Here is a 26,696-nt window from a genome sequence, read left to right as displayed (position 1 = left end):
GTCTTGAACTCCTGACCTCAAGTGGATCCGCCCACCTCAGCCTCCCAAAGTGCTGAGATTACAGGCATGAACCACCGTGACCAACCTGAATGTGGTTTTGGAGTTCGTTTTTTTTCTGATGAGTAGTGATGTTGACCTTTTCTCTTACTTGTTGGTCAGTTTTGTATCATCTTTGCAGAGATGTTTATTCACGTCTATTCAGGGTCTTTGCCCAATTAGTTTGGATCTGTATTTTGATGCTACTTAGTATTTTTTTCTCTGTGTACATGTTTGGTACATGTACACAGTTATCACTCATGATTCCCTGAAATTTTCTAACAGTATGTATTTTTTGAGACTGAGTCTCATTCTCTCACCCAGGCTGGAGCACAGTGGCATTTCATGTCACAGTAGCAGGTATTTTGGATACTTACAGCTTTGCAATATAATTTTGATATCAGGGATTGTGAATCCTCCAAGTTGGTTTGTATTTCTCAGGATTCCTTAGATATTCAGGACCATTTGTGGTTCCATATGAACATTAGCATTGTGTATTCGTATTTCTTAAATTTCTGTGTATAATAAAATATGTAATTAGAGGGTATGCTGGTACTTTTTGTTTCCTCTGGGACATTTTGATACATGTATGTTTTTAGTAGTGATCACATCACGGTACTTAGCATATCCATTCCTTCATGAAGGTATTATTTCTCTGTTGTGAGAACATTCAAATTGCTCCCTTCTAGCTTTTTTTGAAAAAAACTTTTTTTTTTTTGTTAACCAGAGTCATCCAGCTGTGGTATAGAACACAAGAATGTGTTTGTCTTAACTAACTGCAACTTTGTTTCCATAACCAATCACTCCCAACCCCTCCTTCCACTCTTCTCAGAAGACTAGTACTGTACCTTCTACTGATTGAACGTGAAGTTTTTTTGAATTTCATATAAGTGAGATGATTCTGTGCTTATCTTTCTATGCCTGGATTATTTTATTTAACATATTTTCCAGGTTCATCTGTATGGCTCCAAATGAAAATGACATTTTCTTCTCAAGGAGTGCATTGCATTGTGCAGATATACTGCAGTTTCTTTATCCCTTCATCTGTGGATGGCCAGGTAGGTTGATTCCACATCTTGGATATTGTGAATAGTGCTTCATGAAACATGGGAAGGCAAATAACTCCTTAAGAAATGGATATCCTTTGCGTTAAATGCATACCCAGTGTGGGGATGACTAGAAGAACTAGTAATTGTATTTTTAATTTGTTGAGGAAACTCCAGCTTTTTTCACAGTATTATATACACTAATTTACATTGCGACCAATAGCGTGTAAGAGTTTCCCTTTTTCTTTTTATTTATTTATTTTTTTTGAGATGGAGTCTTGCTCAGTCGCCCAGGCTGGAGTGCAGTGGTGCGATCTCAGCTCACTGCAGGCTCTGTCTCCCGGGTTCACGCCATTCTCCTGCCTCAGCTTCCCGAGTACCTGGGACAACAAGTACCCGCCACTACACCCGGCTAATTCTTTTTCTGTATTTTTAGTAGAGATGGGGTTTCACCATGTTAGCCAGGATGGTCTTGATCTCCTGACCTCGTGATCCTCCCGTCTCGGCCTCCCAAAGTGCTGGGATTACAGGCGTGAGCCATCGCGCCCGGCTGAGTTTCCCTTTTTCAAGTCTACACTGCTGCCTTCCAAAAATTTTATTGCTGTTTATGGTCATATTCATTCTCGGTGAAGTTTGATGGTATCTGAGTGTGATTCTGACATACATGTTTGGAGTGATTAGTGATGTGGAGAAACTTTTGTTTCACTTGTGAATCAGTTTCATGTCTTCCTTGAAGAAGTGGCTGTGCTGGCCCTTTGCACATTTTTAGCTTGTGTATTTTTTAAAATCTTTTCCCCACTTAGTAGCTTTAGTGTTTGAATATGTTGGATAACAACCGCTTTCAAATTTATGATTTTCCACAGTTTTCCTCCAGTCAGTCTTTCTCCCAAGGTAGGATGCTGTCTCTTTGGGTTCATTGTTTTCTGTCCCATGCAGAAGCTCTAAAGTGTTTGTCTCACATGTTTATATTTGGTTTTGTCAGCAGTGATTTCTGTGTTCCATCACGAAAAAAAGATGGCAAATCATTGTATTGTCTATGGGTATTTTCCCCCTAATTTTTCCTTTTGTTTTTTAAAATTTCTCCTTTGCAACCTGTGTGCACAGATTCAAGTTTCCCCAAAATATACACTGACCCTGTGTTTTTTCCTTGGAGTTTTTGGTTTCAGAATTGGATTTGGGTGTTCAATTGATTTTATGTTTTTGCATATTGTGCAGCATAAGAGAACTGTTTCAGTCTTTTGCACAGGAATATCCAGTTTTCTCAACTGTTATGCCTTTGGTGAGCTTTTGCAAAATATTTTAACTATATATAATTTTGGGTTGCTTATTTGGCTTCCTCATTTTGTTCATTCAGTTGTTTTTCTGTGTGTGTGCCAGTAGCAGATCGTTTGGATCACTCTAGGTTTCCTCTTCCTTAATAATTTTTTTTTCAGCTCCTAATCTTGATTTCTAAAATAATACCTACTTGTATTTTGATTAAAGGGTGCACCTTGCAGGTTGGCCACATGGGTATATGGCAGGATAGTGAAGCTTGGGTTCCGAAGGAACCCCATCACCCAGGCAGTGAGCACAGTACCAATCAGATGGTTCTTCCACCAACATTTACTGTCTCCCTCCGTTCTCTGTCTGGTAGTCCCCAGTATCTGTGGGTGTGTTCGGTGTTTAGCTTCAGTGTATAAATGAGAACATGTGGTATTTGATTTTCTGTTCTTGCATTACTTTGCTTAGCATAGTGGCCTCCAGGTCCATCCTTGTTGCTGTTGAGGACAAGAAAATTTTTTAAGCTGTGTAGGAGTTTTTGGTGTCCATGTACTGCAAGTGTAAAAACCTAATCATCAACTGTTAATGGGCACATAGGTTGATTTTATTTTGTTTTGTTTTTTCTTATGAATAGCACTTCCAAGAACATACCAGTGTATGTGTCATTTTGAAAGAAGGCTTTATTTCCCTTTGTGTAGATACTCAGTTGTGGGATTGCTCTATTCAGATGGTAGTTCTGTTTTAAGTTCTTTGAGTAAACTTCAAACCACTTCTCACAGTGTGACAGCTGGTTTTTATTCCCACCAAGAGCGTAGCAGTGTTCGCTTTCCTCTGCTGCCTCGCCACCATGTTAATGTTTGGACTTAGGACAAATGGCCATTCTGAGTAGTGTAAGATGGTATTTCAGTGTGTGCATGAGTTGCATTTCTCTGACGATTAGTGATGTTGAGCATTTTTTCTTCTGTTGGCTGCTTGTACATCATGTCCTTTGCCCATTGTTTGATTGGATTATTTGTTTTTCTGACTCTTGATTTTTTTAAGGTCATGTTACAGTCTGGCTATTAGACCTTGGTCAGAAGCATAGTTTGGGAACATTTTCTCCCATCCTGTAGGCTATATAGGCATTTACTGTGCTGGTGATTTCTTTTGCTATCTGGCAGTCTTTCAGTTTCTTAGGCCCAACCTTTTTATTTTGGTTTTTCTTGCTGTTGCTTTTAGGGACTAAGTTATCTAAATGCTTTACCAAAGCCTATGTTGAGAAAGGTATTTCCTAGGTTTTCTTCTAGGACTTTTATAGTTTGAGGTCTTCTTCTGAAATCTTTTGCTCACCTTGAGTCAATTTTTGCATATGGTGACAGGTAGGGCTCCAGTGTTAATCTTTTGCATGTGTCTAGCTGCCTTTCCTAGTACCATTCATTGCACAGGGAGTCCTTTCTCCATTGCTGAGTTTTGAGTCTTTTCAAAGGTCAGATGGTTGTAGGTGTGTGGGATTACTTCCAGGTTCTCTATTCTGTCCAGGTGGAGGCAGGTCTATATCTCTGTCATGAAATTTGAAATCAGGGAGTGTGGTCCATCTGACGTTGTCTGGATCTTCCAGCTTGGCTTTGCAGTTTCAGGGAGTTTTGTGGTCCCACAGGAATTTTATCATTGTTTCTTTACATTGCTTTCAAAAAACAAAATTGGCCCATACATAAATGTGTACAAATAGAGGTTAGAGTGGGACATTTGGGTCCATGCATGCATTGCATAGTGATGAAATCAGGGTATTTAGCATCTATTTTTGCCTTGTAGAGTTATCATGTCTTTGAGGTGAGGACGGCCAGAACCCTCCTTTCTGGCTGTCTTGGAAACTACCCTCTGATAATGTTAGCCCTAGTCACTCTGCTGAGGAATAGAACAGCAGGTTTCATTCCTCTTATGGAACTTGTCACTATGTACCCATTTCCTATCCCTGCCCATGCCCCACCTTCCACTCCAACCCTGGCAAGCACTATGGTGCTTTCTAGGTCTATGTGAGATAAAGTGTCTTGTAGTCCTCATGAGTGAGATGATGATGATGTGAGGTTTGCCTTTCTTGGCCTAATGTGTTTCATTTACGATAATGTCCTCCAGGTTCCACTATGTTGCTGTGAATGACATGATTTCAGTATGCATGTCTAGCTGAAGAGTATTTATTTGTGAATGGGTACTGCGGTTTCTGGATCTCATTCTCTGTGGGTGGACAGGTAGGTTGATTCCTTATCTTGTCTTTTGTGACTGGTGCCACAGTCAGTATGGGAAGGCAGATACCACTTCCATGTACTGGTTTCAAGTGCTTCCACTGCACACCCAGCAGTAGCAAAGCTAAAGGAAATGGTAGTTGTATTTTTAGTTTTCTGTGGAACCTCCAACTGGTCTCTGTAGTTTGCATACTAATTTACTTTGTCAACAATTATGGATAAGAGAGCTCCCTGTTCTGGAGATTCACACAAGTGTTTGTGGTTTCCCTTGTTTTAAAATATATGAAGGCCTTTGTAATATTCATTCCACCGAGAAGGACAGGGTATCTGATCTTGTTCTGATTTTCATTTTTTTCCCATGATTAGTGATGTTAACTAAGTGTTGGTAAACTTGTTTTCAATTTTTTGTGTTCTTTGCAGAAAAGGCTATTCAGGTTCTTTGCTCAGTTTTGGCTCAGTAATTACTTTCTCTTTTCTGTTGTTTTCTGCTAATTAGTAGTGTTACTTACACATTTTCCAAAAAATGCATCAATAGCTGTGTTTTCCCTTCAAATTCTCTTATCCTTCAGATGTTTTTCCTTTTCATTCATTGTTTTAGTAGTGTTAGTTACTTATATGTTTTCCAAAAAATGCCTCAATAGCTGTGTTTTTCCTCAGAATTCTCCTATCATCCTTTAGATGTTTTTTTCTTTTCATTCACTGTTTTTATTCTTTCTTGCACACAAGCCATACAATCTGATGTGGTTTCACATGTGTGCAAAGTTTTGATTTTCCCTTGGTGACTGGTGAAGTAAAAGCAATCCACTAGCATACCAATCCATTGTCAGTGAGTTTTGATTGTTTGTATTCTTTTCTTTCCCCTATATTTTTTGTTTTCCTTTTTGCAAAGCATAAGCACAGATCCAGGTTGACCCAGGTATCTGCATACCAGACGCTTTCTCCTAGGAGAGTGATGGCTTCCAGTTTTGTGTGTAGGTCTTACGTCCATGTTGAATGGATTATTGTGAATTTCACACAGTAGGAACCCCTTTTTGTTATTTTACTAGGGATCTCGCATTTTCAGAATGATGCGATGAACAGGCTCTCCCTTCCTGTGGTGACTTTTGGGATTCTTTTCCAACATGTGCTCACTCCACATCAATTTGGGTTTGCCCCTTGGCACCCTCATCGTGTCCGTTGGCCTGTGTTACCCTGTTAATGCCAATCACATATATAGTTTGGGTAGCTAAGGCTTTGCAAAGTAATTTAAAATGGAGGCATGTGATGCACTCTACCAAGTTTGTATGTGTAGGAACTGCTTTGGGGATGCAGGGCGTTTCATTGTCCCGCAGGATTTTTAGTAGGGTGTTGTGATCCTGTTGTGAAAACAAGAATTTCCACATGGTCTATGTGTGTACTTAAAGGGTGCAGGGGACCTTCTGACATATGTACCACTAGTGTCATGATCAACCTGCAGGACCTAGCTCATTTCTGTTTCATGCTACAGACATGATTTCTTGGTGGGGAGAGCATTCCGAATCCTCCCTGCCCACTCTGTGGGATATTATGCTAGGATATTATTAAGCCTAGTCACCCTGCTGTGCTGTAGAACACCAGAATTCCTGCCTCTCATCTAAGTGTCACTTTGTAGCTGTTTCCAGTCCTCCCCCCAGCCTCTGGTACCCACTATTGACATGGATACCTCTGTGAGAAGATTGACTTTGTCAGATTCTCATGTTGGGGAGATCATGCAGAATTTGTGTTTGCCTTCCTCTGCTTGGCTTATTTCATTTAACTTAATGTCCTCCAGGTTTCTTCACCTTGCTGGAAGTGACCTGATGTCCAGAAGTTTGATGGCTGAAGAGTATTCTCTTGTGCATATATCCTTCAGTTTCTGCATGTCTTCATCTGTGGATGGACAGGTAGGTTGACTCCGTACCTTGATTATTGTCTCTAGTGCCTCATGAAACATGGGAAGGCAGGTATCTCCTTAAGGTATGAATTTCTTCTGCTTTACAGGTATACCCAGTGTTGGGATGGCTAGATGAAGAACTGGTAGTTGTACTGCTGATTCTTTCAGAAACCTCCAGATGTTTTTCCTAGTGTTTATGGGAGTTTACATTACCACCAATAGGAGATAAGAGTTCCTGTGTCTGCAAGTCTACATACACTAGCCCTTGCCTTCAGAAAAATTTATTGCTCTTTCTGGTCATACTCATCCTCCAGGGAAGTTGGACAGTATGTGAGTGTGGGTGGTTGGGATTTACATTTGGGGGATGATTGCTGATGTGAAGAAATTTTTCTGTTACCCAAGAGTCAACGTAAGGTCTTCTTTTAAGAAATGTCCACGCAGGTCCTCTGGGCATTTTCAGCTTGTGTATGGGTTTTTATGTTTTGCCCATTTAGAACCATTAGTTTCTGAAGTATGTTAGATAACAGGCTCTTCCATGATTTTTCCATAATTTTTTCCCAGTCTGTAGGATGGCTTCAGTTTGGGTTTGCTGTTTTCTCTCTGGGAAGTTAGTTGTCCTTAGCCCCACGTGGTTATATTTGCTTTCGTTAGCAGTGATTTCTGTGTCCTATTGAGAAGGGAGATGGCGAAGCCATTGTACGGTCTGTGGGTATTTGGCTCCTATGTTTTCCTTTCCTGTTTGCAGCTTAGGTGTAGGGATTCAAGTTTCCCCAAAATTGATGCTCACCCTGTGCATTTTCCTTGGAGTTTTTTGGTTTCAGGATTGCACTTACATGTTTGGTGGACTTTATGTTGCTTTTTGGATCTTGTGCAACAGAAGGGTTTATTTCAGTCCTCTGCACATGAATACCTGGTTTTTTCAACCACTGTGCCTTTGGCATGCTTCCCAGGGTGAGGTGGGGAGGGTGAGAAATGTGTTCACTGTCTGTAATTTTGGGTTGATTATATGGCCCCTTGTTTTGTCCAGTCGGTTATCTTCCTAAGTTTATGCCACTAATGTGTGGGTTAGGTTACTATAGGCTTTGTTTTGTTTTGCTTCGTGTGCGTTTTCTTGTTTTATTTACTTTTTCCTATTTTTAGTTCCAAACCTGGATTTTCTAAAACAACAGCTACTTTTATTGTGATCAAGGGGTACACCTGCAGGCCAGCTACGTGGCTATACAGCAGGATGCTGAAGCTTGGGATCCCAACGCACCTGTCACCTGGGCTGTGGAGACAGTACCAGTGGGGTTGTTCTTCCTCCAGGGCTTTCTGTTTCCATCCTTTTCCTGTCTGGTCATCCCCAGCACCTGTTGATTTCATCTTTATGTTCGGGCGTATTTGGTGTTTAGCTTCTGCTTGTCAGTGAGAACCTGCATTACTTGGTTTTTTGTTCTTGCCTTAGTTCACCCAGCCTAGTGGCCTCCAATTCCATCCATGTTGCTGCCGGGGGCATGATTTTGTTTGTGTTTGATCATCCTTGCTGGCCTTTTAGCAAAGGTATCACATTTTTTCAAATCTTATTTACTCTTGGTGGGCACCTAGGTTATTTCCACATCTTCCCACTTGGGAATAGCACTCCTGTGAACGTGCGAGGGTGTGTGTCCTTCTTGATAGAAACATTTATTTTCCTTTGGGTAGATACCCAAAGGATACCCAGGATTGCTTGGTTGGAGGGTAGTTGCTTTCCATCCATTTATTTATTTATTTATTTATTTTTTCTCTATTATTGAGAAGTCTTCAAACTGCTTTCTGCAGTATGAGGTCAATTTTGCATTCCCACCAAGAGTGTAACAGAGTTTCGTTTCCTCCGCTACCTCTCCAGCATGTTCTCTTTTGACTTTGGACTAGTGGCTGTTCTGACTGGCGTGAAATGCTGCTGTTATGATTTATGTAAGGTCCTTGTAGATTCTAGCTACTAGGACTTGGTGGAGACGCACAGTTTGGGCACATTTTCTCCCCTCCTGTAGGCTGTGTGTTAACTGTGTTGGCCGTTGCTTCCCAGCCTCTTTGCTCCTATATATAGCCATTTAAGTGAGTCCTGGCCATGTATATGTGTATAGAATTTATGTTTGCTCTATACAGTCCTGGCCCATGATTTTATGTTCTGATTTAGAATATAAACAAGAATTGAGACTTGCTAGATGAAAGAAAAAGCACTCTTCAGTGCTTCCTATGACGAGGTACACCAGCTGTCTTCTACTGCTTTAGACAGCTACATATTTGCTGGACAATAATTTTCCAGGATAAGGACAAGCCAGAGCATTCTCCACATTCATCTTCTGCTCCAGTTTCTCATGGTTATGATCAAAGCTAGACAATGACTGATCCAGGAGGCTGAGATCACAAGATGCACTGTGGTCCTCTGGTTTAAGACAGGCTAGATCATCAGACGGAGGAAATAGGTGGCCCTGTCTTCTGGATTTTCACCTCCTCTGTTTTCAGGATACTTGAAGTCAGTTTTGCTACTCAGACATGATTGAGAGAGATCCTTTTGAGTCATTTCATAGAACCACAGAATGTGCCAATGTGACAGCCAAGAAAGCAGAAAGACCAAGGCATTGAGAATTTCAGCAGTATAGCAAGAGGCAGGCAGTGGTTAGCAGACATACACTGAATAGTGAGCTCTGAGCATCCTGTGCTGCACCCTGCAGCCTGCAGGGGATGAGAACTTGCCCTTTCTTTTGCTGCCTGGCACACATGCGTGTTGTTCTCGAGACTTGGGTGCCACCTCCAGAATAAGGCCAAGAGCTTCGTTTTCTCAGGTTCCACTGCAGGAGGCATTGCAGTGGCTTCATGATGACTTGAAGCTGAGTCCACAGAGAGGAAAAAGCTCCTGTCCATGGCTGGAAAGCTGGGGGTGTGGGAAGGGGATTATCACAGTTACTCCTAGACATTCTTCTAAAATAGCACAGAACCTTTCATTTTATGGACTGTTTGTGGAAATAAAGACCACCCAAATGAGAAAAGGAAAGCCCATTTATTCAGAGTTTGCTACCCTGAAAGCAGACTCCACCTTGCCTCTTTCATCGATCAAACACAAGAAGTGTTAATGGCACAGACGCTGTCATGAAGGCGACAAGAACTCCAGAGCACTGTGATTGTCTAGCTCTACCTCATCTTGGGCAGAGGTGCTGTCATCAGTAACGTCTACAGTTAGTAATAGGTTTTTTACTCTCGTTACTATTTGTGTGACTCCCACCACTGGGAACACTGCCCTCATTGTTCACATAAACAATGAGTCAGTAATTTCTCCAGGTAGTAGCTCTGAATAGTTGAGTGGACTCATTTTGGAGCTCATATCTGAGTTGGATTTCCAGTCTTGCCCATTATATATTTAGGGTCTGTGTATATATAGACAATTCTCGAAGTACTCTTTCTACCAAAGTGGATAAAGTGTTAGTCTGAGGCAAATAGGACCATCTGTTCTGGCCACAAAGGAAGTATTTAGCAGGCGTACACAGAAACCAGGGAGATAAGTTGTTCACAGTGTAAAAACTAAGGCCTTACACCAGCTAGGTTATATAGTTGGAACTCTGTTAGTCTCTTCTCTGTGGCAGGTATTTGGCCTATTGCCCTACAAAGTCTGGTGAATTCAAATTTATAGTTACTGAGGGTCTGATCAATAGATTGTAACAAATGGTAAGATAACCAATTATTCTTATTGGCAAAATGACCAATCATTGGCATTGATATTAGTCATTATCTTTCTGGAAGAAAGGGACTCTAGCAAGTCACAGGTTGACTTTTTTAGGGTTAACTGTCAATGTAGGTGCAAGTGAAAATGCCATTCGCTATGATGCCTGTGGTCCCATCTGATGAAACCAGAATTGCCAGAAGTTTATCCAGCATATCTAGCAGTCAGGAGGATTGAGGACAGTGGCTACTCTTTGGGATTATCTAAGAATGGCATTAGAATGAGTATGTTCTGACCTAACTCTTATAATAAAGATGGAAAAAAGAGCAAAAGAGTCATTCTGAATGAATGACAAAAAGGGGTCTATAGAAAATGAGAAGGATGGTTATAAGCAAGCAGGTAAAAACCAAAACAGGAATTAGGAGTCTTGGTCTGATGTGTTAGACAGAAGCTATCCACCGTCCACTGTCATTGCTTATTCTGAAGGTGTTGGGTCAGTTGTCTGCTTGTGCAGATCAGTTGCTCCTGGAGGATCTCTGAGAATCCTCACTTTGAGATTTTCTATTTGAGTAGTCTTCCAATTGTGTGGAATTCTGAATTTCTTTTTTAGTTGTGAAATATGAACCCAAGTATTGACGTCTTGGTTTTAATGCTGTATTTGTTGCTCACCGTTCCAGATACAGTCTCTTCCAACAAAACTCAAGCAGTTTTTCTCTAGTGTTTTCTCCAATAGAAAAAATCTGCTGACAGAATGTCATTAAAAGGTTGTTTAGGATGCTATTATGGGAAAGGCTTTAGTCAGTTGCTGATAGGACTGGATGTAGTATGTGCATTCCTTGCAATAATTTGCCATGCCTGCAATAGGGTGGTAGGGCAGAGTCTATTATTGAAAGTGAAATTTCTAAACACATGGGCTTCCAGTCATTAATTCAAATAGGTATAACTGAGTGTTTCTGAGGGAGTGGATCATATGGCCATGGGCCTGGCTTGCCCTCCACTCAGAGGTGGGTAGTGCACTGCCAGTGCAGGCCTCAGGGAGGAAAGGGAGAAACAGAGATGGGAAAAGCAAAAAACGAGATACAGGAAATGCAACAGAAGCACACAAACAACAAGCACACTGACATTCATTGGGCAGGCTGTCCTCTCACCCATGGCCAGCAGCATAGGCAGCCAAGACTCAGGCAGGAAGGCCACTGACCTCAGGACCTGCAGGGTGTGGGGAGGGGAGGTGATGAGATGAACTAGTCCAGGTCACAGCTATGTATATCTGGCTTCAAGAAAATATTATTTCAAGTCAAAGTACATTTATGGAATCCTTCTGATTATATAAAAAAGCAAAGTTTCCAAAATTTGATAGTGATTACCCAACATATCCGTACACTTAGATACAGGGTTTTTCTAAAACTGGGATCAGGCCAGGTATGGTGGCTCAGGCCTGTAATCCTAGCATTTTGGGAGCGTGAGGTGGGAGGATTGCTTGAGGCCAGGAGTTGGAGACCAGCCTGGGCAACATGGTGAGATTCCCCCCCTTCCATCTTTACCAAAAATACAAAAATTAGCGGGGCATGGTGGCACAAACGTATAGTCCCAGCAACTCCAGAGGCTGAGGTAGCTCACTGGCTGCAGTGAGTCAAGATCGTGCCACTGCACTCCAGACTGAGCAACACCTCATCCCCCCTCCCCCCAAAAAATCACAATTTTAATAATTATTCTGGAGTTGGGTAAAAGAATACCCTTATTCTGGCTGGGTGTGGTGGCTCACGCCTGTAATCCTAGCACTTTGGGAGGCCGAGGTGGGCAGATCACGAGGTCAGGAGATCAAGATCATCCTGGCTAACACAGGTGAAACCTTGTCTCTACTAAAACTATACAAAATTAGCCGGATGTAGTGGCGGGCACCTGTAGTCCCAGCTACTCTGGAGGCTGAGGCAGGAGAATGGCAGGAACCTGGGAGGCGGAGCTTGCAGTGAGTAGAGATCGCACTACTGCACTCCAGCCTGGGTGACAGAGGTAGACTCCATCTCAAAAAAAAAAAAAAAAAAATACCCTTATTCTTAGGAAATACACACCTAGGGGTGATTATGTCCATAATTTCCTCTCAAATTACTAAAAAAAAGGTATGTAAATAGACAAATGATACAAAATGGAACAAAATGTTAGAAATTGGTGAGTCCCGATTAAGAGAAGAAGGAGCATTCTTGGTACTATTCTTGTAACAACATATGAAATTATATAAAAATTTTAAGTTCCTAAAACTGATTGTAGAAGTGTATGCTCAGAGTGAGCATCTATTTTGTAAAATAGCAATTAAGACCAAAACTTTAATCAGCTAAAATCTTATCAAATAAAAGTAGTGATATATTACAGTATTTTTCTTTTCTTTTCTTTTCTTTTTTTTAGTATTTATTGATCATTCTTGGGTGTTTCTCGGAGAGGGGGATGTGGCAGGGTCATAGGATAATAGTGGAGAGAAGGTCAGCAGATAAACACGTGAACAAAGGTCTCTGGTTTTCCTAGGCAGAGGTCCCTGCGGCCTTCCGCAGTGTTTGTGTCCCTGGGTGCTTGAGATGAGGGAGTGGTGATGACTCTTAATGAGCATGCTGCCTTCAAGCATCTGTTTAACAAAGCACATCTTGCACCGCCCTTAATCCATTTAACCCTGAGTTGACACAGCACATGTTTCAGAGAGCACGGCGTTGGGGGTTAGGTTATAGATTAACAGCATCCCAAGGCAGAAGAATTTTTCTTAGTACAGAACAAAATGGAGTCTCCTATGTCTACTTCTTTCTACACAGACACAGTAACAATCTGATCTCTCTTTTCCCCACATTCCCCCTTTTTCTTTTAGACAAAACCGCCATCGTCATCATGGCCCATTCTCCATGGTCGCTGTCTCTTCAGAGCTGTTGGGTACACTTCCCAGACGGGGCGGCCTGGCAGAGGTGCTCCTCACATCCCAGAGGGGGCCGCTGGGCAGAGGCGCTCCTCACATCCCATACGATGGGCGGCCAGGCAGAGACGCTCCTCACTTCCTAGATGGGGCGGCGGCTGGGCAGAGGCGCTCCTGACTTCCCAGACGGGGTGGCCAGGCAGAGGGGCTCCTCACATCCCAGACGATGGGCGGCCAGGCAGAGACGCTCCTCACTTCCTAGACGGGGTGGTGGCCGGGCAGAGGCTGTAGTCTTAGCACTTTGGGAGGCCAAGGCAGGCGGCTGGGAGGTGGAGGTTGTAGCGAGATCACACCACTGCATTCCAGCCTGGGCAACATTGAGCATTGAGTGAGCGAGACTCCGTCTGCAATCCCAGCACCTCGGGAGGCTGAGGCGGGCAGATCACTCGAGGTCAGGAGCTGGAGACCAGCCCTGCCAACACGGCGAAACCCCCTCTCCACCAAAAATACAAAAACCAGTCAGGAGTGGCGGCACGTGCTTGCAATCCCAGGCAGTCAGCAGGCCGAGGCAGGAGAATCACGGGAGCCCGAGGCAGGGAGGTTGCAGCTAGCCGAGATCACGGCAGTACAGTCCAGCCTCGGCAACAGAGGGAGACTGTAGAAAGAAAGAAAGAACTAAAGAAAGAAAAAGAAAGGAAGGCAAGCAGGCAGGCATATTACAGTATTTTTCATATCAAATCATGGTAAAGGGGCAATCACTTTTACAAGTTTCTCACCAAGCACAGTACATTTTTGTGGATTTTTCAAGAATTCAACTTCCTGTAATTCTTATCTTCCTCTACCTAAAGTGACATAGTTTACCAAGTAATTTTAAATAAGGGTTAGATTTGGTTAGATTCTCAAGGCGTCCTTTTTGAAAATCATACATTTAATTTCGATGTGGAATTGGCCTCTTTGTTTCTGAGAAAGAAATATACAAAAATACCCCCTTATTGGCCAGGGGCAGTGGCTCATGTCTGTAATCCCAGCACTTTGGGAGGCCAAGGCAGGCAGATCACAAGGTCAAGAGATCTAGACCATCCTGGCCAACATGGTGAAACCCCGTCTCTACTAAAAATACAAAAATTAGCTAGGTGTGGTGGTGCACACCTGTAGTCCCAGCTACTCGGGAGGCTGAAGCAGGAGAATTGCTTGAACCTAGGAGGCAGAGGTTGCAGTGAGCCAAGATCGCACCACTGCACTCCAGCCTGGTGACACAGTGAGACTCCATCTCAAAAACAAACAAAAAATGCCCCCTTATTAACACACAATGGCTTTCTCCTGACCATTATTTCTAGCTATGCACAGTCTTCTTACTATCTCAGCATAATCATTCTGAACTTCTTCCATTTCTCAGGTAGAAGATACAAGCCAGCTCAAGATAGATTAAAGACTTAAATGTAAGACCTGGAACTATGAAACTGCTAGAAAAAAACATAGGGAAAACTCTTCAGGACATTGGTTTAGCAAATAATTTATGGCTGAGATCTCAAAAGCACAGGCAACAAAAGCAAAAATAGATGACTGGGATATAGCTTCTGCACAGGAAAAGAAACAACACATGAAGAGACAGCCTCTTGAATGGGAGAAAATAACTGCAAATTACTCATCTGACGGGGGACTAATATGCAGAGTATACAAGGAACTCAAATTCCTCAAAAGTAACAAAACAATCCCATTGAAAATGGGCCAAGGACAGGAATAGACATTTCTCAAAAGACTTACAAATGGCTAACAGGTATATGAGAAAATTCTCAACATCATTGATCAGGGAAATGCAAATCAAAACCACAATGAGGTATCATCTCACCTCAGAATGGCTATTATTAAAAAGACAAAAAATAACAGATGCTGGTGAGAATGCAGAGAAATGGAAACTCTGTTATACTGTCAGTAGGAATGCAAATCAGTATAACCACGATGGAAACCAGTATGGAGAATTCTAAAAAACTTAAACATAGAAGTACTGTATGGTCCAACGTTTCCACTACTGGGTATTTATCCAAAGGAAAGAGTTCAGGCCGGGCGTGGTGGCTCATGCCTGTAATCCCAGCACTTTGGGAGGCTAAGGCAGGTATATCACTTGAGGTCAGGAGTTTGAGACCAGCCTGGATAACATGGAGAAACCCCATCTCCACTAAAAATACAAAAAATAATTAGCCAGGCGTTGTGGTGCACACCTGTAATCCCAGCTACCTGGGGAGGCTGAGGCAGGAGAATCACTTGAACCCAGGAAGTGGAGCTTGCGGTGAGGCGAGATTGCACCACTCAACTCCGGACTGGGTGACAGAGTGAGATTCTTTCTAAAAAATAAATAAATAAATAAATAAAAATTTAGTGTAGCAAAGGGATACCTGCATTGTCATGTTTATCACAGCACTATTCACAATAGCAAAGATACAGAATCAACCCAAGTGTCCATCAACAAATGAATAGCTAAGTAAAATGTGCAAAATGTATACAATAGAATACTATTTGGCAATAAAAAATAATGAAATCATATCATTTGCAAAAACATGGATAGATCTGGAAGTCATTATGTTAAGTGAAATAAGCCAGGCACAGAAAGACAGATACTGCAGGTTCTCACTCACATGTGGGAGCTAAAAAAACTTGATCTCATGGACACAGAGAATACAATGGCAGATACTAGAGTCCGGGAAGACCGGGTGTGTGGAAGTGAGAATGAAGAGAGGGTGGCTATTGGGTGCAAACATACAGTTAGAAGAAATAAGGTGTAATGTTTGACAGCAGACTAGGGTAGCTAAGCCACAATATTTCAAAGTAGCCAGAATACACATTCACTGCATGTAACAAACACTCGTATGTACCCTATAAATGAGTAAAATAGGTAAATAGGTAAAATATTATGGGTGTCAATGATTTTTTTTTTTTTGAGATGGAGTCTTGCTCTGTCACCCAGGCTGGAGTGCAGTGGCACGATCTCAGCTCACTGCAAACTCTGCCTGCTGGGTTCACGTCATTCTCCTGCCTCAGCCTCCTAAGTAGCTGGGACTACAGGTGCCCGCCACCACACCCGGCTAATTTTTTGTATTTTCAGTAGAGACGGGGTTTCACCGTGTTAGCCAGGATAGTCTCGATCTCCCGACCTCATGATCCGCCCACCTCAGCCTCCCAAAGTGCTGGGATTACAGGCAATGATTTTTTTAAGATAGAGAGGTTATGCCCAAGTCTCCAGAGAGGGGCCCTTTGGATCCGCACAGCACATCCTGCGTACCTGCATCCACTGCTCCACCATGCTAGTCTTGTCTGGGCCTTCATGCTCTGGCTCCCAAGGCAAGTGGTGCTGACTCAGGTGGCCACACTGTGGACCTGGGTGTTCGTGGCCCAGAAGGTGGGTGCTAGGGTCTTCCTGCCCTAATTGTTTCACTGAGACCAGATGGTCCCAGGCAGTGACAGGGCACCACTTTCTTGATCAGATCCTGGGACATATGAGGAGTGTCACCTGGCCCCTCCTCATCCCAACTAAGAGCCCAAAGTACCCCCAAGCCTGGGCCATGGCTGGGCTGGAATTCAGGAAGCCTAGGATGCGGCCAAACCTTGTGGCATCTCTGGGTTCTCAGCCCACTGAGGGTGCCCCATACAGATGATCCATGACCCATAGCTGGTGGGGAGAGACTGGCATTTCTCTGGCCCCTCCTTACTCATGCCAAGCACCCCAACTGTCCTTCCTGGTCCATCACCCTGGTCATATTCCCCAGGGCAGCTCAGGGCTTTGTTCAGCTGTCTACCATAGTCAGGTGCCTAATAAGTGCTGAGACTTGCAAGACCACCTGGGCAGATGGGTTGATGCCCTCTGGTGAGCACCCCCAGCAGCCAGGCCCCTGTCCACGTGTCTGCCTGCTCCCGCTTGTGTTTGACTGTCACAACGCTGCATGCCAGGGACACCGGCTCCCATCCCTCCTGTCGAGAAGGACACAGCAAGTGCGTGGGGGTAAGGCATTTGCCAGGTGGCACAGGTGCTGAGGGTCGGAGCTGGGATTTGAACCCAGATCATGGAACTCTGCGTGGGGGAGTGCAGGTGTGGGGATGCCCATAAACGAAGGAAGGGTGGCCCAGCCCACGGAGCCCAGCTGCTCCCTGCAACCCTGGAGGAAACTGCTCTGCCCTCAGGTGGGGAGAGGGCCCAGGAGGCCAGGCCTCCCCTTGCTTGCTGGCTCAGGGGATCACAGTGGGACAAGGCGATTTAGTGTGTGTGTCTTCTTTCTTTTTCTCTATTTCATTCAAAAGTTCATTTAGTATCAAGCAAGAGGAGCCTTAGCTTAACCCTCCAGATCAGGCAAGACTTGAGTTACAAAAGAATACATTCTTTTTGCACTCCTAATTGTCTTCCTCTCTACTTTTGTTGGCAAGAGCAGGTCTGTGTCCTAGGTTCGGAATCCATTTTTCATCCCACACCAAAGCGCTTGCTGTTTGGGTGAGCACCCTGGAGCCTGGCCACGTGGAGCTGTGTAGCAGGAGGGTCCCTGCAGGAGGGTCACAGAGCCACTGCCCGGGTCCAGCTCAACTGTGCTGACAGGGTTGCCTGATCTGGCTCCCTGGGGCTTAAAGCATCCTGTTCCCAGGATCTGCACATAGGGATGCCTTTCTGCATCTCACCGTCAGTGGTAGGTGCTCGTGCTCCTCCCCCCGCTCAGCAGGGCCTGGAGACCGTGGGCGGCTTATGTTCCACGATTTTGAGGCCATTTGCAGCGAGTTCCGCCAGGCTGCCCCTCCCCTGCAGCCGCGGCCACCTGGGCACAGCACCGCCACGAGTGTCTTCGGGGCTTTCTTCAGAGGAGACAGTCAGCATCCTCAAGTACCAGGCGCTCTGGCCCCAGTCCTGCTTGTAGACGCCTTTTCCCACGGGCTGCCTCTCCTTATCAATGGCCTGAAGCTTGGCCAGTTTCCACGAGGTCTGGCGGGAACACAAGGCTGTCACTGACATTTGTGGCACCAGAACTTACAAGCACGCGGGTTGCACACGTCGGACACTGCCACGTGCAGTAACTTGCCATCTGAGGTACGCCGCACGCGCACGCCGCAGCAGCTTGGCTTGGTGTTCTGCGCATGCGTATGTAACGGCTTGGCTTGGCGTTCGTCGCTTGGCTTGGTGTTGGTCTCTTGACTTGGCGTTCCATGCTTGGCTTGGCGTTGGTCGCTTCGCTTCGTGGTCCTCGCGTGGATTGGCATTTCCTCCCTGTGCATTCCTTTGCTGGGCTTGACCTTTTCTTGGCTGGGCTTGGCATTCCCCTGGCTGGGCTGGGGGTTTCCTTGGCGGGTGGGTGGAGGGGCTTGGCCTTTCCCCAGGTGGGCGTGGGCTTCCCTGGGTGGGCGTGGGGTGGGTGTGGGCTTCCCCCCGCCGGGTGGGAGTGGAATTTCCCCAGGTGGGTGTGGCCTTTCAAATCCTAGTATTTATCATTGGAAATATCTGATTTACATATATTCTATAAATCTAAGTATTGAAAAAATGAGCAATACCTATTCATTTGAACCCCAAGTTTCCTTTGGCTTAAAGTTTTTTTTTTTTTTTTTAGTAGAGATGGGGTTTTTGCCATGTTTCCCAGGCTGGTCTTGAACTCCTGGGCTCAAGCAATTCCACCTCAGCCTCTCAAAATGCTGGGATTACAGGTGTGACACCACGCCTGGCCTAATTTGACTTTTATCTCTGTGATTGGGACATTAAAATGAATATTATTGGCAGTATCTATCAGCTTACAGAATAATACCTTTTCCTTCCTACCATCAGTTTTTCAATTCCCCCCACATTCAAAACCTGATGTGGAACCCACATCTTATCCTAGACTTAACTGAGAACTTCATGTTAAGAGATCTTTTGAGTCCTGTGTTGGTCTTTTCTCTAGCAGATATTAGTTGGGCTTGTTCTAAACTGTCAGAGAGGTTCAAATAATGTGGCAGAAAGACATCAGTGTTTGTTTCTTCTTCTTTGCTACCAGATACATACACTGAGGCACCTTTATATCCTGTATAGTACCTTAGGCAGTAGAAAGCCCCATGTTAACCTTCCCTAGAGCAGTGGGCACCCAGTTGTGGTTGGCCCCTTGAGTGATCTATTTTCCATGATAATGAAAATCTCCCAAGCTACTTGCATCTCTTCCTCAAGATTTAAAAATATTTTCTAATTCTACCTCACAGGAAACCTTTGGAGATAATTCTCGAGATCTCAAGTAGGTTAGTTAGACTGAGAGCCAAATCTTGTTCGTGACTCATCACTGTCCATGTGTAAAAGTGGGGCTTTGTGCTTGCTTCGGCTGCACATATCCTAAAATTGGAACAATACAGAGAAAATTAGCATGGCCCCTGCATAGGGACGCTGCACAAATTTTTGAAGCATTCCATATTTTGCACAGTCACTGGAAGGTCATTTGACTATTTGCTCACTAACTCTAAGGAAACAGTGTGAATCAAAGCAAAATGGGTGCCATCTAAATATTGAAATTGTGATTTTCGCTACAAAAATATTCATGTAAGGTGGCCTATGAGATGTCCCCGGAGCTGAATAATGTGTAGAGTGTTGTGTGCAAAATATATCGTTAGTATGTGTCTCAAAAATTAGAGAATGAATTTGCAACTTCTTCATGGAACCTAAAACAAATAAAAATAGGATTTTGGTCTCCCATGTCAGCTGGAGATGAACATGGATATGAAGCATTATCCTAACAAACATCTGCGGGTTCAGAGTGTGAGTCTGTAGAGAAGGATCATTGGTCCAAGCCAGGTTTTGACATCCATCCATTGGTTTTCTGCCCTTGTTGTGATTGATAAACTCCATAATAGTGGACAATCATGTTACCTACTTTAATGAGATATTTATGAATAAATTTAATTATAAACTCTGAAATAGTTGAGATGCTGTGAGTTATAAGCCATAAAGAGTAGGACAACTAATAAACAAAAGACAATAACATTTCCTGAAAGCTACAACATTTGCATATTAGGACCTATGAACAAAATACACTTTAGGTTTTTAGACTGAGTCTTGCTCTGTTGCCAGGCTGGAGTGCAGTGGTGCGACCTTGGCACACTGCAACCTCTGCCTCCCAGGTTCAGGCGATTCTCCTGGCTCAGCCTCCCAAGTAGCTGGGACTACAGGCGCATGCCACCATGCCCACCTAATTTTTTGTATTTTTAGTAGAGACGGGGTTTCACCATGTTGGCCACGATGGTCTCGATCTCTTGACCTCGTGATCTGCCTGCCTTGGCCTCCCAAAGTGCTGGGATTACAGGTGTGAGCCACTGCGCCTAGCTACACATTGGGTTTTATTTGGGATTCGAAGATAATTTCAGTCATAAAGTTTAGGAACAGGTTATTCCATTGCTTTACTATTTCTGTGAGCATTTAAAAATTTATCTTGTTAAATCTTTATAGCTTAGTGAAATAAGGCAGCAAATTCCTCACTTTGTAGAAGAAGACATTGAGCCTAAGAGAAGTAAATTTTCCAAGAACAAATAGCTGTTCATTATGGAGCTAGGACTTCTTCAGAGTTGGGACTTTCTATTATGTCAAGCGAATGCAAGTTAATTTATTGAGTCATGGTGCCCTCAGTTTATGAGTATTTCACCTTACTTTTTTCTTTTTTAATTAGAAGCTTAATGAAAAGTTTGTAGGATGTACACATAAGTGGATGGGATAATCTTGTTTTCTGATATTCTGATATTTGAAATACTCTAAGAATTTTTCATTTGGTAAGTATTTTTATATCAGTATTAAAATAATTTTATTTATTACATTTTTATACATAGAATTTGCCAATTATTTTCTGACTATAAGGAAAAACAGATGCCAAAAAACTGTTCTGAAAACAGCAATCCAGGTAAGACTTCTTATAGTGAATTACTTTAGGTCAATTGTCCCCAACCTTTTTGCTTTTTTGGCACCAGGGATCGGTTTTGTGAAAGACAGTTTTTCCTTGGACTAGGGGAAGGTGTGGATGGTTTCAGAATTATTCAAGCACATTGCATTTATTGTGCTACTTTATATTATTATTACATTGTAATATATAATGAAATAATTATACAACTTACCATAATGTAGAATGAGTGGAATCTCTGAGCTTGTTTTCCTGCAATTAAATGGTCCCATCTGGGGGCAAAGGGAGACAGTGACAGACCATCAGGCATTAGATTCTCATAAGAAGCACACAACCTAGATCCCTCGCATGGGCAGTTAACAACAGGGTTCACGCTCCCATGAGTATCTAATGCTACCACTGATCTGACAGGAGGCGGAGCTTAGGTGGTAATATGAGCCATGGGGCATGGCTATAAATACAGATGAAGCTTCTCTGGCTTGCCTGATGCTCACCTCCTCCTGTGTGGCGTGGTTCCAAAAAGGCCATGGACTGGTACCAGTCTGTGGCCTGGGAGTTGTGGATACCTGCTCTGGGTGGTCCTACCATAGATAAAAAGTAAAAGTAAGGAAGTTTTGATCATGAACAGCAAAGCACAGGTCATGTTACATATGCTTGTACCAGCAAGGTCTCACTGTTACTGACTTTATTCCTTTTAATTTGAAATTGAAAGAGATATATTTACTTTGTTGGAACAAGATGTATTCTTGTACCTGCTGGCTAATTGTCGTGATAACAATAATTTTGTTAAAACAAGATGCTCTGCTACCATTCGCCAAAAGATTGTCATAATAAATATACAAATTGCCCAACTCTAGGCTCAGCAGATTATAATAAAAGTACAAAAATGTTTCATAATAACAAAAATGCTAGTATGCTACCTGGATGTGGACACCTAGTATATTGTACAATTCAAACTGTGTGAGAACACCTTTAATTTAACCATATGTTTATCTTTTTTTTTTTTTTTTTTGAGACGGAGTCTCTCTCTCTCTGTCCCCCAGGCTGGAGTGCAGTGGCGCGATCTCGGCTCACTGCAAGCTCCGCCTCCCGAGTTCACGCCATTCTCCTGCCTCAGCCTCCCGAGTAGCTGGGACTACAGGCACCCGCCACCAGGCCCGGCTAATTTTTTTGTATTTTTTTTAGTAGAGATGGGGTTTCACCGTGTTAGCCAGGATGGTCTCTATCTCCTGACCTCGTGATCCGCCCGCCTTGGCCTCCCAAAGTGCTGGGATTACAGGCTTGAGCCACCGCGCCCGGCCTAGCCATATGTTTATCAAAGAGCTTCTGTAAGTTAGGTTTTGTACGTTGCAGGAGACAAAGATGGACTAGATGTAGTTTTGATCTTTAAGGTGCTCATAATAGAATAGAGCTGTGTCTATTTCATTTCTATACTTTTTCAATAGAATTTACAAGGAAACATTTTTATTTATGTTTTCACCTATCTATTTAACAAATAGCTATCAAATGTCTTTTAGATACTAAGCATTTTTTTAATGCTACAGAACACAGTTAAAAATACAGACAGGAGCTTGTTGTTGTCATTGTCATTTTTATTATTTTGCTACTTTATTCAGAGCTTACTGTGTGCTAGATGCCCACTGGAAGTTTATATTTATGGTTTTATATTATATTGATTATGTGCCAGACACATGTGTTTAGGAATGAAGGCTTTAAAAAAAAAGTAGGTAGGATTTAAGGTAAGCATGCAGAGTGAGTAGATTTTTTTCTAGGTAAAGTAGCAGAAGAATGATGTTTGGCAGAAAGAACACGTAAGGAGATTGTGTGTTTGGCAGAAGGAACATCTAATGAGATTGCCTGTATGGGAGGAAGAGCAGCAAGTGCAAAAGACAAGATGCTTGAGTGAACTTTGCAGGGTTAACGAGCAGTTCACTTTTGCTAGTACAAAAAGTGTGAGATATGAGAGGTTGGGAATGAGGTGAATACTAAGCTAAGGCAAGTTTATGATAGAATTTTTAATACTATAGAAATGAGTAGCTCTTATCCCGTGGGCCATGGGAAATTTACCAGGTAGAATGCTTTGGACTGCAAATACTAGATGAGGAGTGGTTAAAACAGTAGGAACTAGAGTTGTTTTGATTGTTCAGTGATATCCTAGAATCCCACTTGTCCCTCTTTCAGCTGTGCTGTTGGCAGTGTCTTCTTCAAATCTCCTTTCATGGCTGGCTAATCTGCAACAGCTCCAAACATCTTGTTCTCAGAACACAACGTTGCAAGGGCTGCTTTTCTTCACGTTTCTTTAAATAGGGAGAAAACTTAGAAGCATGCAGTGGACTTCCTGTAACATTTCATTGGCTGGGTCACACCACATGCGCATCCCCATACTGGACACTGGGAAAGCAAATGTAATTATGTGATTAGCTTAGAATAATTGTTTCTCTTTCTGTAGCTGGGGAAGAATATTGGGATAATAAGTATCCCAATAGATTTGTGTTTCTTCTGCAAGAAAGAATTAGGAATGGCTATTGGTAGGGAGCCAGCAATGGCTGATGCACGGACTCATTGGAGAAATTTGAGCAGGGGAGTCAGGAGATTAAATTGGAGTGTTAAGGCATTCTGGCTATGGTGTAAAATAGGGGTCGTCAGGCTTTTTCTGTAAAGGACCGTGTGGGAAATATTTTAGACTATGTGGTCTCTGTCATATCTACTTAACCCTGCTGTCACAGTGAGAAAGCAACTATGGATAATATGTAAGCAAATAGGCATGACTGAGATCCAATAAAATTTTATTTAAAAAACCATAAGACAGACTGGATTTGGCCTGTGGCCTATAGTTTGTGACCCCTCATGGAGGTTGATGGAAGGTAACCATTTTAGTAAAGAAACCAGGAGACAAAGGAAGCTTTTGCAGTAGTCAGCTATAGTTTCCTTGTCATACATCCTTGGACTAGTATCAATGTATTTAAGGTTTTCACCCATCTATGGTGAAATAAAGTTAGGAATCTCAGTTATTCATTTTAAAATGTTGGCCTTTTTTGGTGTTATGCCTTTTTCATTTGTTTTGCTTAAGTTCTTTTTTCATGTAAGAAATAACATTAATAGTTGGCGGGTTTTTTTTAAACAAAAGCCATTTGATAAATGTTTATGTTCCCAGTGGCGGTGAGAATATAAAGCAGAGGCAGAAGAGAGGTATAGTCAATATGATTTAGTGATGATTGAATGAAAAAGATTTGGGGGATAGAGAGAAATCTCAGATGATTCAGAGGTTTCCAGGTGTACACTAGCATTTAACCTCGACATGAGGAAGGAGTGGGAAATTTTCTGGTGAATACAGAATAGCAAAGAGCAGCAGGTCAGCAGGAATGACTGCTTTTTTTTTTCTGTGCATGTTTAATGGGATATTCTTGTATTTTGAGTAGATAATTGGATAATCAGCATTTATAGCTGGCATCCTACTAGTTTGTCTCTCAGTAATAAGAATTGTCACAGATTCAAGAATCTGAAAGTTGATGATAAGTGTCCATGTGTATCACCATCAGTAACTGAAAGTCAGTCAGCATCCACAGAATTGGGACAGATGAACTTAATAGATAAAGATGTATATTGGAGTTGTATTTTCCTTAGGGAATGATACTCTCCATGACCTGCGTGAGTCACAGCTGCCAGAAAACAAAGAGAGAAAGGAACATATTAAAGAAGCACAGCAAATTCAGTTCTAGAGTGCCTCTGTTTGACTTCATATTATATTCTGACTTCTAAAAAATCATTTTCTGGCAAAATGTGCTTTGTGTTTCCTCCTCTCTTGCAGCCTGCAACCAAACAGAATCCCTTTTAGTGGGGCATTTTTGTGTTCTTCCTTTAACAAAAGCAACATAAAAATAACAAAAGTAAGAGAAAGAGCATTTTTTGTATAGGCTAGTATTTAAAGTAAATTTGAGAGTGAGTACTAGGATTATATTTAGAATTTAGGGACTAGATGGGAAAACTATATAGAAATCTAAAGATTGCTGACTCAAACGCAATGTGGTTTCTTTGCTTTATTTTCACAGCTCTGAATTCACAACTATTAGTTATATTTATATGCATTATAACTTTAGAAAGCACCTTCTCAAACAAATATTAAGTGATTTCTTATAGTTTCTATGACTTTATTATAGAATTGACTTTCCAAGTATTCATAACAATTTTTGAGAGTTTTCTACATAGTATCATCCCAGCTGTGTCCACATGAGCTATCTATTACCTTGTGTTAATGAATAATGGTTCACTAGGAATATTGGTTTTGGCATTTAAAGTGATTTATATCTAATGCAGATAGAACCAGAGACCATTCTTGAACATTAATGTCCAAGCATCTTAAAATTACACATAAGGCTTTCATAATCTGACTTCTGCCCCAGCCTCTATCTTTAGCTGTTTTCCCTGTGTGCCCTTTCTCTGGCATTACTGAACTGCTGGTAATGCCCTACTCACTCATCCTTCTATTGTAGGCAAATACACATTCACTCTTGCAGGCCTTACTCCCTATCTTGTTGCTTCCTGGCATACTGTCACCCTTTCCTGCCCCCTGCCCCTTTTAATCTGGCTAGCCTCAATATTTAAGTCTCTGCTTGGGCATGATTTCTAGAAAAGCCATCCCTGACATGCTTTATTTTCATTCTTTTTAAACCCTAGTGCCTGGTATGTATGTAGCAGGACTCAATAAAACATTGCTGAGTAAAATAAAGACTGTTTATTCAAAGGTGATGTGCAAAACTGTCCCCTACAGTCTTGGAGCAGAGGGGACAGACATGTGGAACAATAATGTACAGTTCAGGTGGTAAAGATGCAGTAGAAAAATCAGTAAAGTACAAAGGCAGCCTCAAGGAAAGAGGTACCTGTTTATCTGGGGAAAGACATGTAGAGTCAAGAAAGACTCCACATAGGATTGTTTTAAAAGATGAAAAAAAAATTGTCAGAATAGTGGAGGGAAACATTTTAGATATTAGGAAGACATTGTACACTAATAAAGGTATCAGCAGTGATTTTGGAAATCATTTATAAGGTACTATTAGGAAGTGGAGAACAATATACTGTGTTACCTTATATGTTTCTACTGTATTTTAAAGTTGTGTTTCTGGTGGTTTTGTTCATTTATGTTTGGTGGATGAATTTGTGAGTGAATGTCTGACATGTTTGTATGTCTTCAATCTGGTGACATCTGGTGTCTCCCCAAGTGGTTTGTTGAAGTTTTGGAGAATTATTTCTTAAGTAACTATTTCATGAAAGATTAAGCTTCATTTAAATGCTCAATTTATGAAATAAAATGAAATGTCTTAAATCTATTTTTATAAAGGCAATAGTTTTTAATTGTTCTAAGTGGTTCATTTTAATTGAATGTATGGATTTCTCTTCAGAGCAAGACTTAAAGCTGACATCAGAGGAAGAGCCACAAAGGCTTAAAGGAAGTGAAAATAGCCAGCATGAGGCATGTAAAATTTTAAATGTCGATTTCTGGTTTAATGTTGTTTTCTGTATTTTAATAATATTAGATTGTCCAAATAAAATTACCTTTCAGACTAGGCTTTGAGAATCAATAGATTCTTTTTTTAAAGAATCTTTTAATAAATTCTTAAAGTTTACCTTAATAAATTTAGCAACCTCATTAGCAGAAGAATCAATAGATTCTAAGTTAATATTTGCTATTTAACTTAAACATTATGACTCACTATTAAATTTAAAATATTCTTATTTAAAATATTCTTACCTGCTTTCTTGATTAGCTTATAGCTAATCTTTCCCTTTGGAAGAGAGGCAAAATAAATTCC

General features: G+C 42.1%; 1 long non-coding RNA gene and 1 pseudogene across 2 annotated transcripts, besides 2 other annotated features; both read left to right on the top strand.

Moving 5' to 3' along the window:
• Positions 16,398-16,898: an enhancer, noted in NCBI's record as "H3K4me1 hESC enhancer chr8:48045929-48046429 (GRCh37/hg19 assembly coordinates)". NCBI's record gives its function as "activates a minimal SCP1, AML or CMV promoter by ChIP-STARR-seq in primed H9 embryonic stem cells {active_cell/tissue: H9 hESC(primed)}" and the evidence as "EXISTENCE:reporter gene assay evidence [ECO:0000049][PMID:30033119]".
• Positions 16,899-17,399: an enhancer, noted in NCBI's record as "H3K4me1 hESC enhancer chr8:48045428-48045928 (GRCh37/hg19 assembly coordinates)". NCBI's record gives its function as "activates a minimal SCP1, AML or CMV promoter by ChIP-STARR-seq in primed H9 embryonic stem cells {active_cell/tissue: H9 hESC(primed)}" and the evidence as "EXISTENCE:reporter gene assay evidence [ECO:0000049][PMID:30033119]".
• LOC107986885 (uncharacterized) lies at positions 18,185-26,357 on the top strand. Of its 2 annotated transcripts, none has more exons than XR_001745708.1 (3): positions 18,185-18,338; positions 20,822-20,892; positions 26,286-26,357. It is a non-coding gene; the product is annotated as an uncharacterized LOC107986885 (long non-coding RNA). The 2 variants fall into 2 exon arrangements; XR_001745707.1 differs by lacking the exon at positions 18,185-18,338 and adding an exon at positions 18,696-19,760.
• RNU6-819P (RNA, U6 small nuclear 819, pseudogene) lies at positions 19,317-19,423 on the top strand (annotated as a pseudogene).
• Positions 26,358-26,696: the final 339 nt, after the last annotated feature.

The sequence above is a fragment of the Homo sapiens genome, chromosome 8 (genome assembly GCF_000001405.40).
Source record: "Homo sapiens chromosome 8, GRCh38.p14 Primary Assembly".
NCBI lineage: Eukaryota > Metazoa > Chordata > Mammalia > Primates > Hominidae > Homo > Homo sapiens.
The sequence above is the reverse complement of the archived record's forward strand: the minus strand, read 5'-3'. Positions and strand labels throughout refer to the sequence as shown.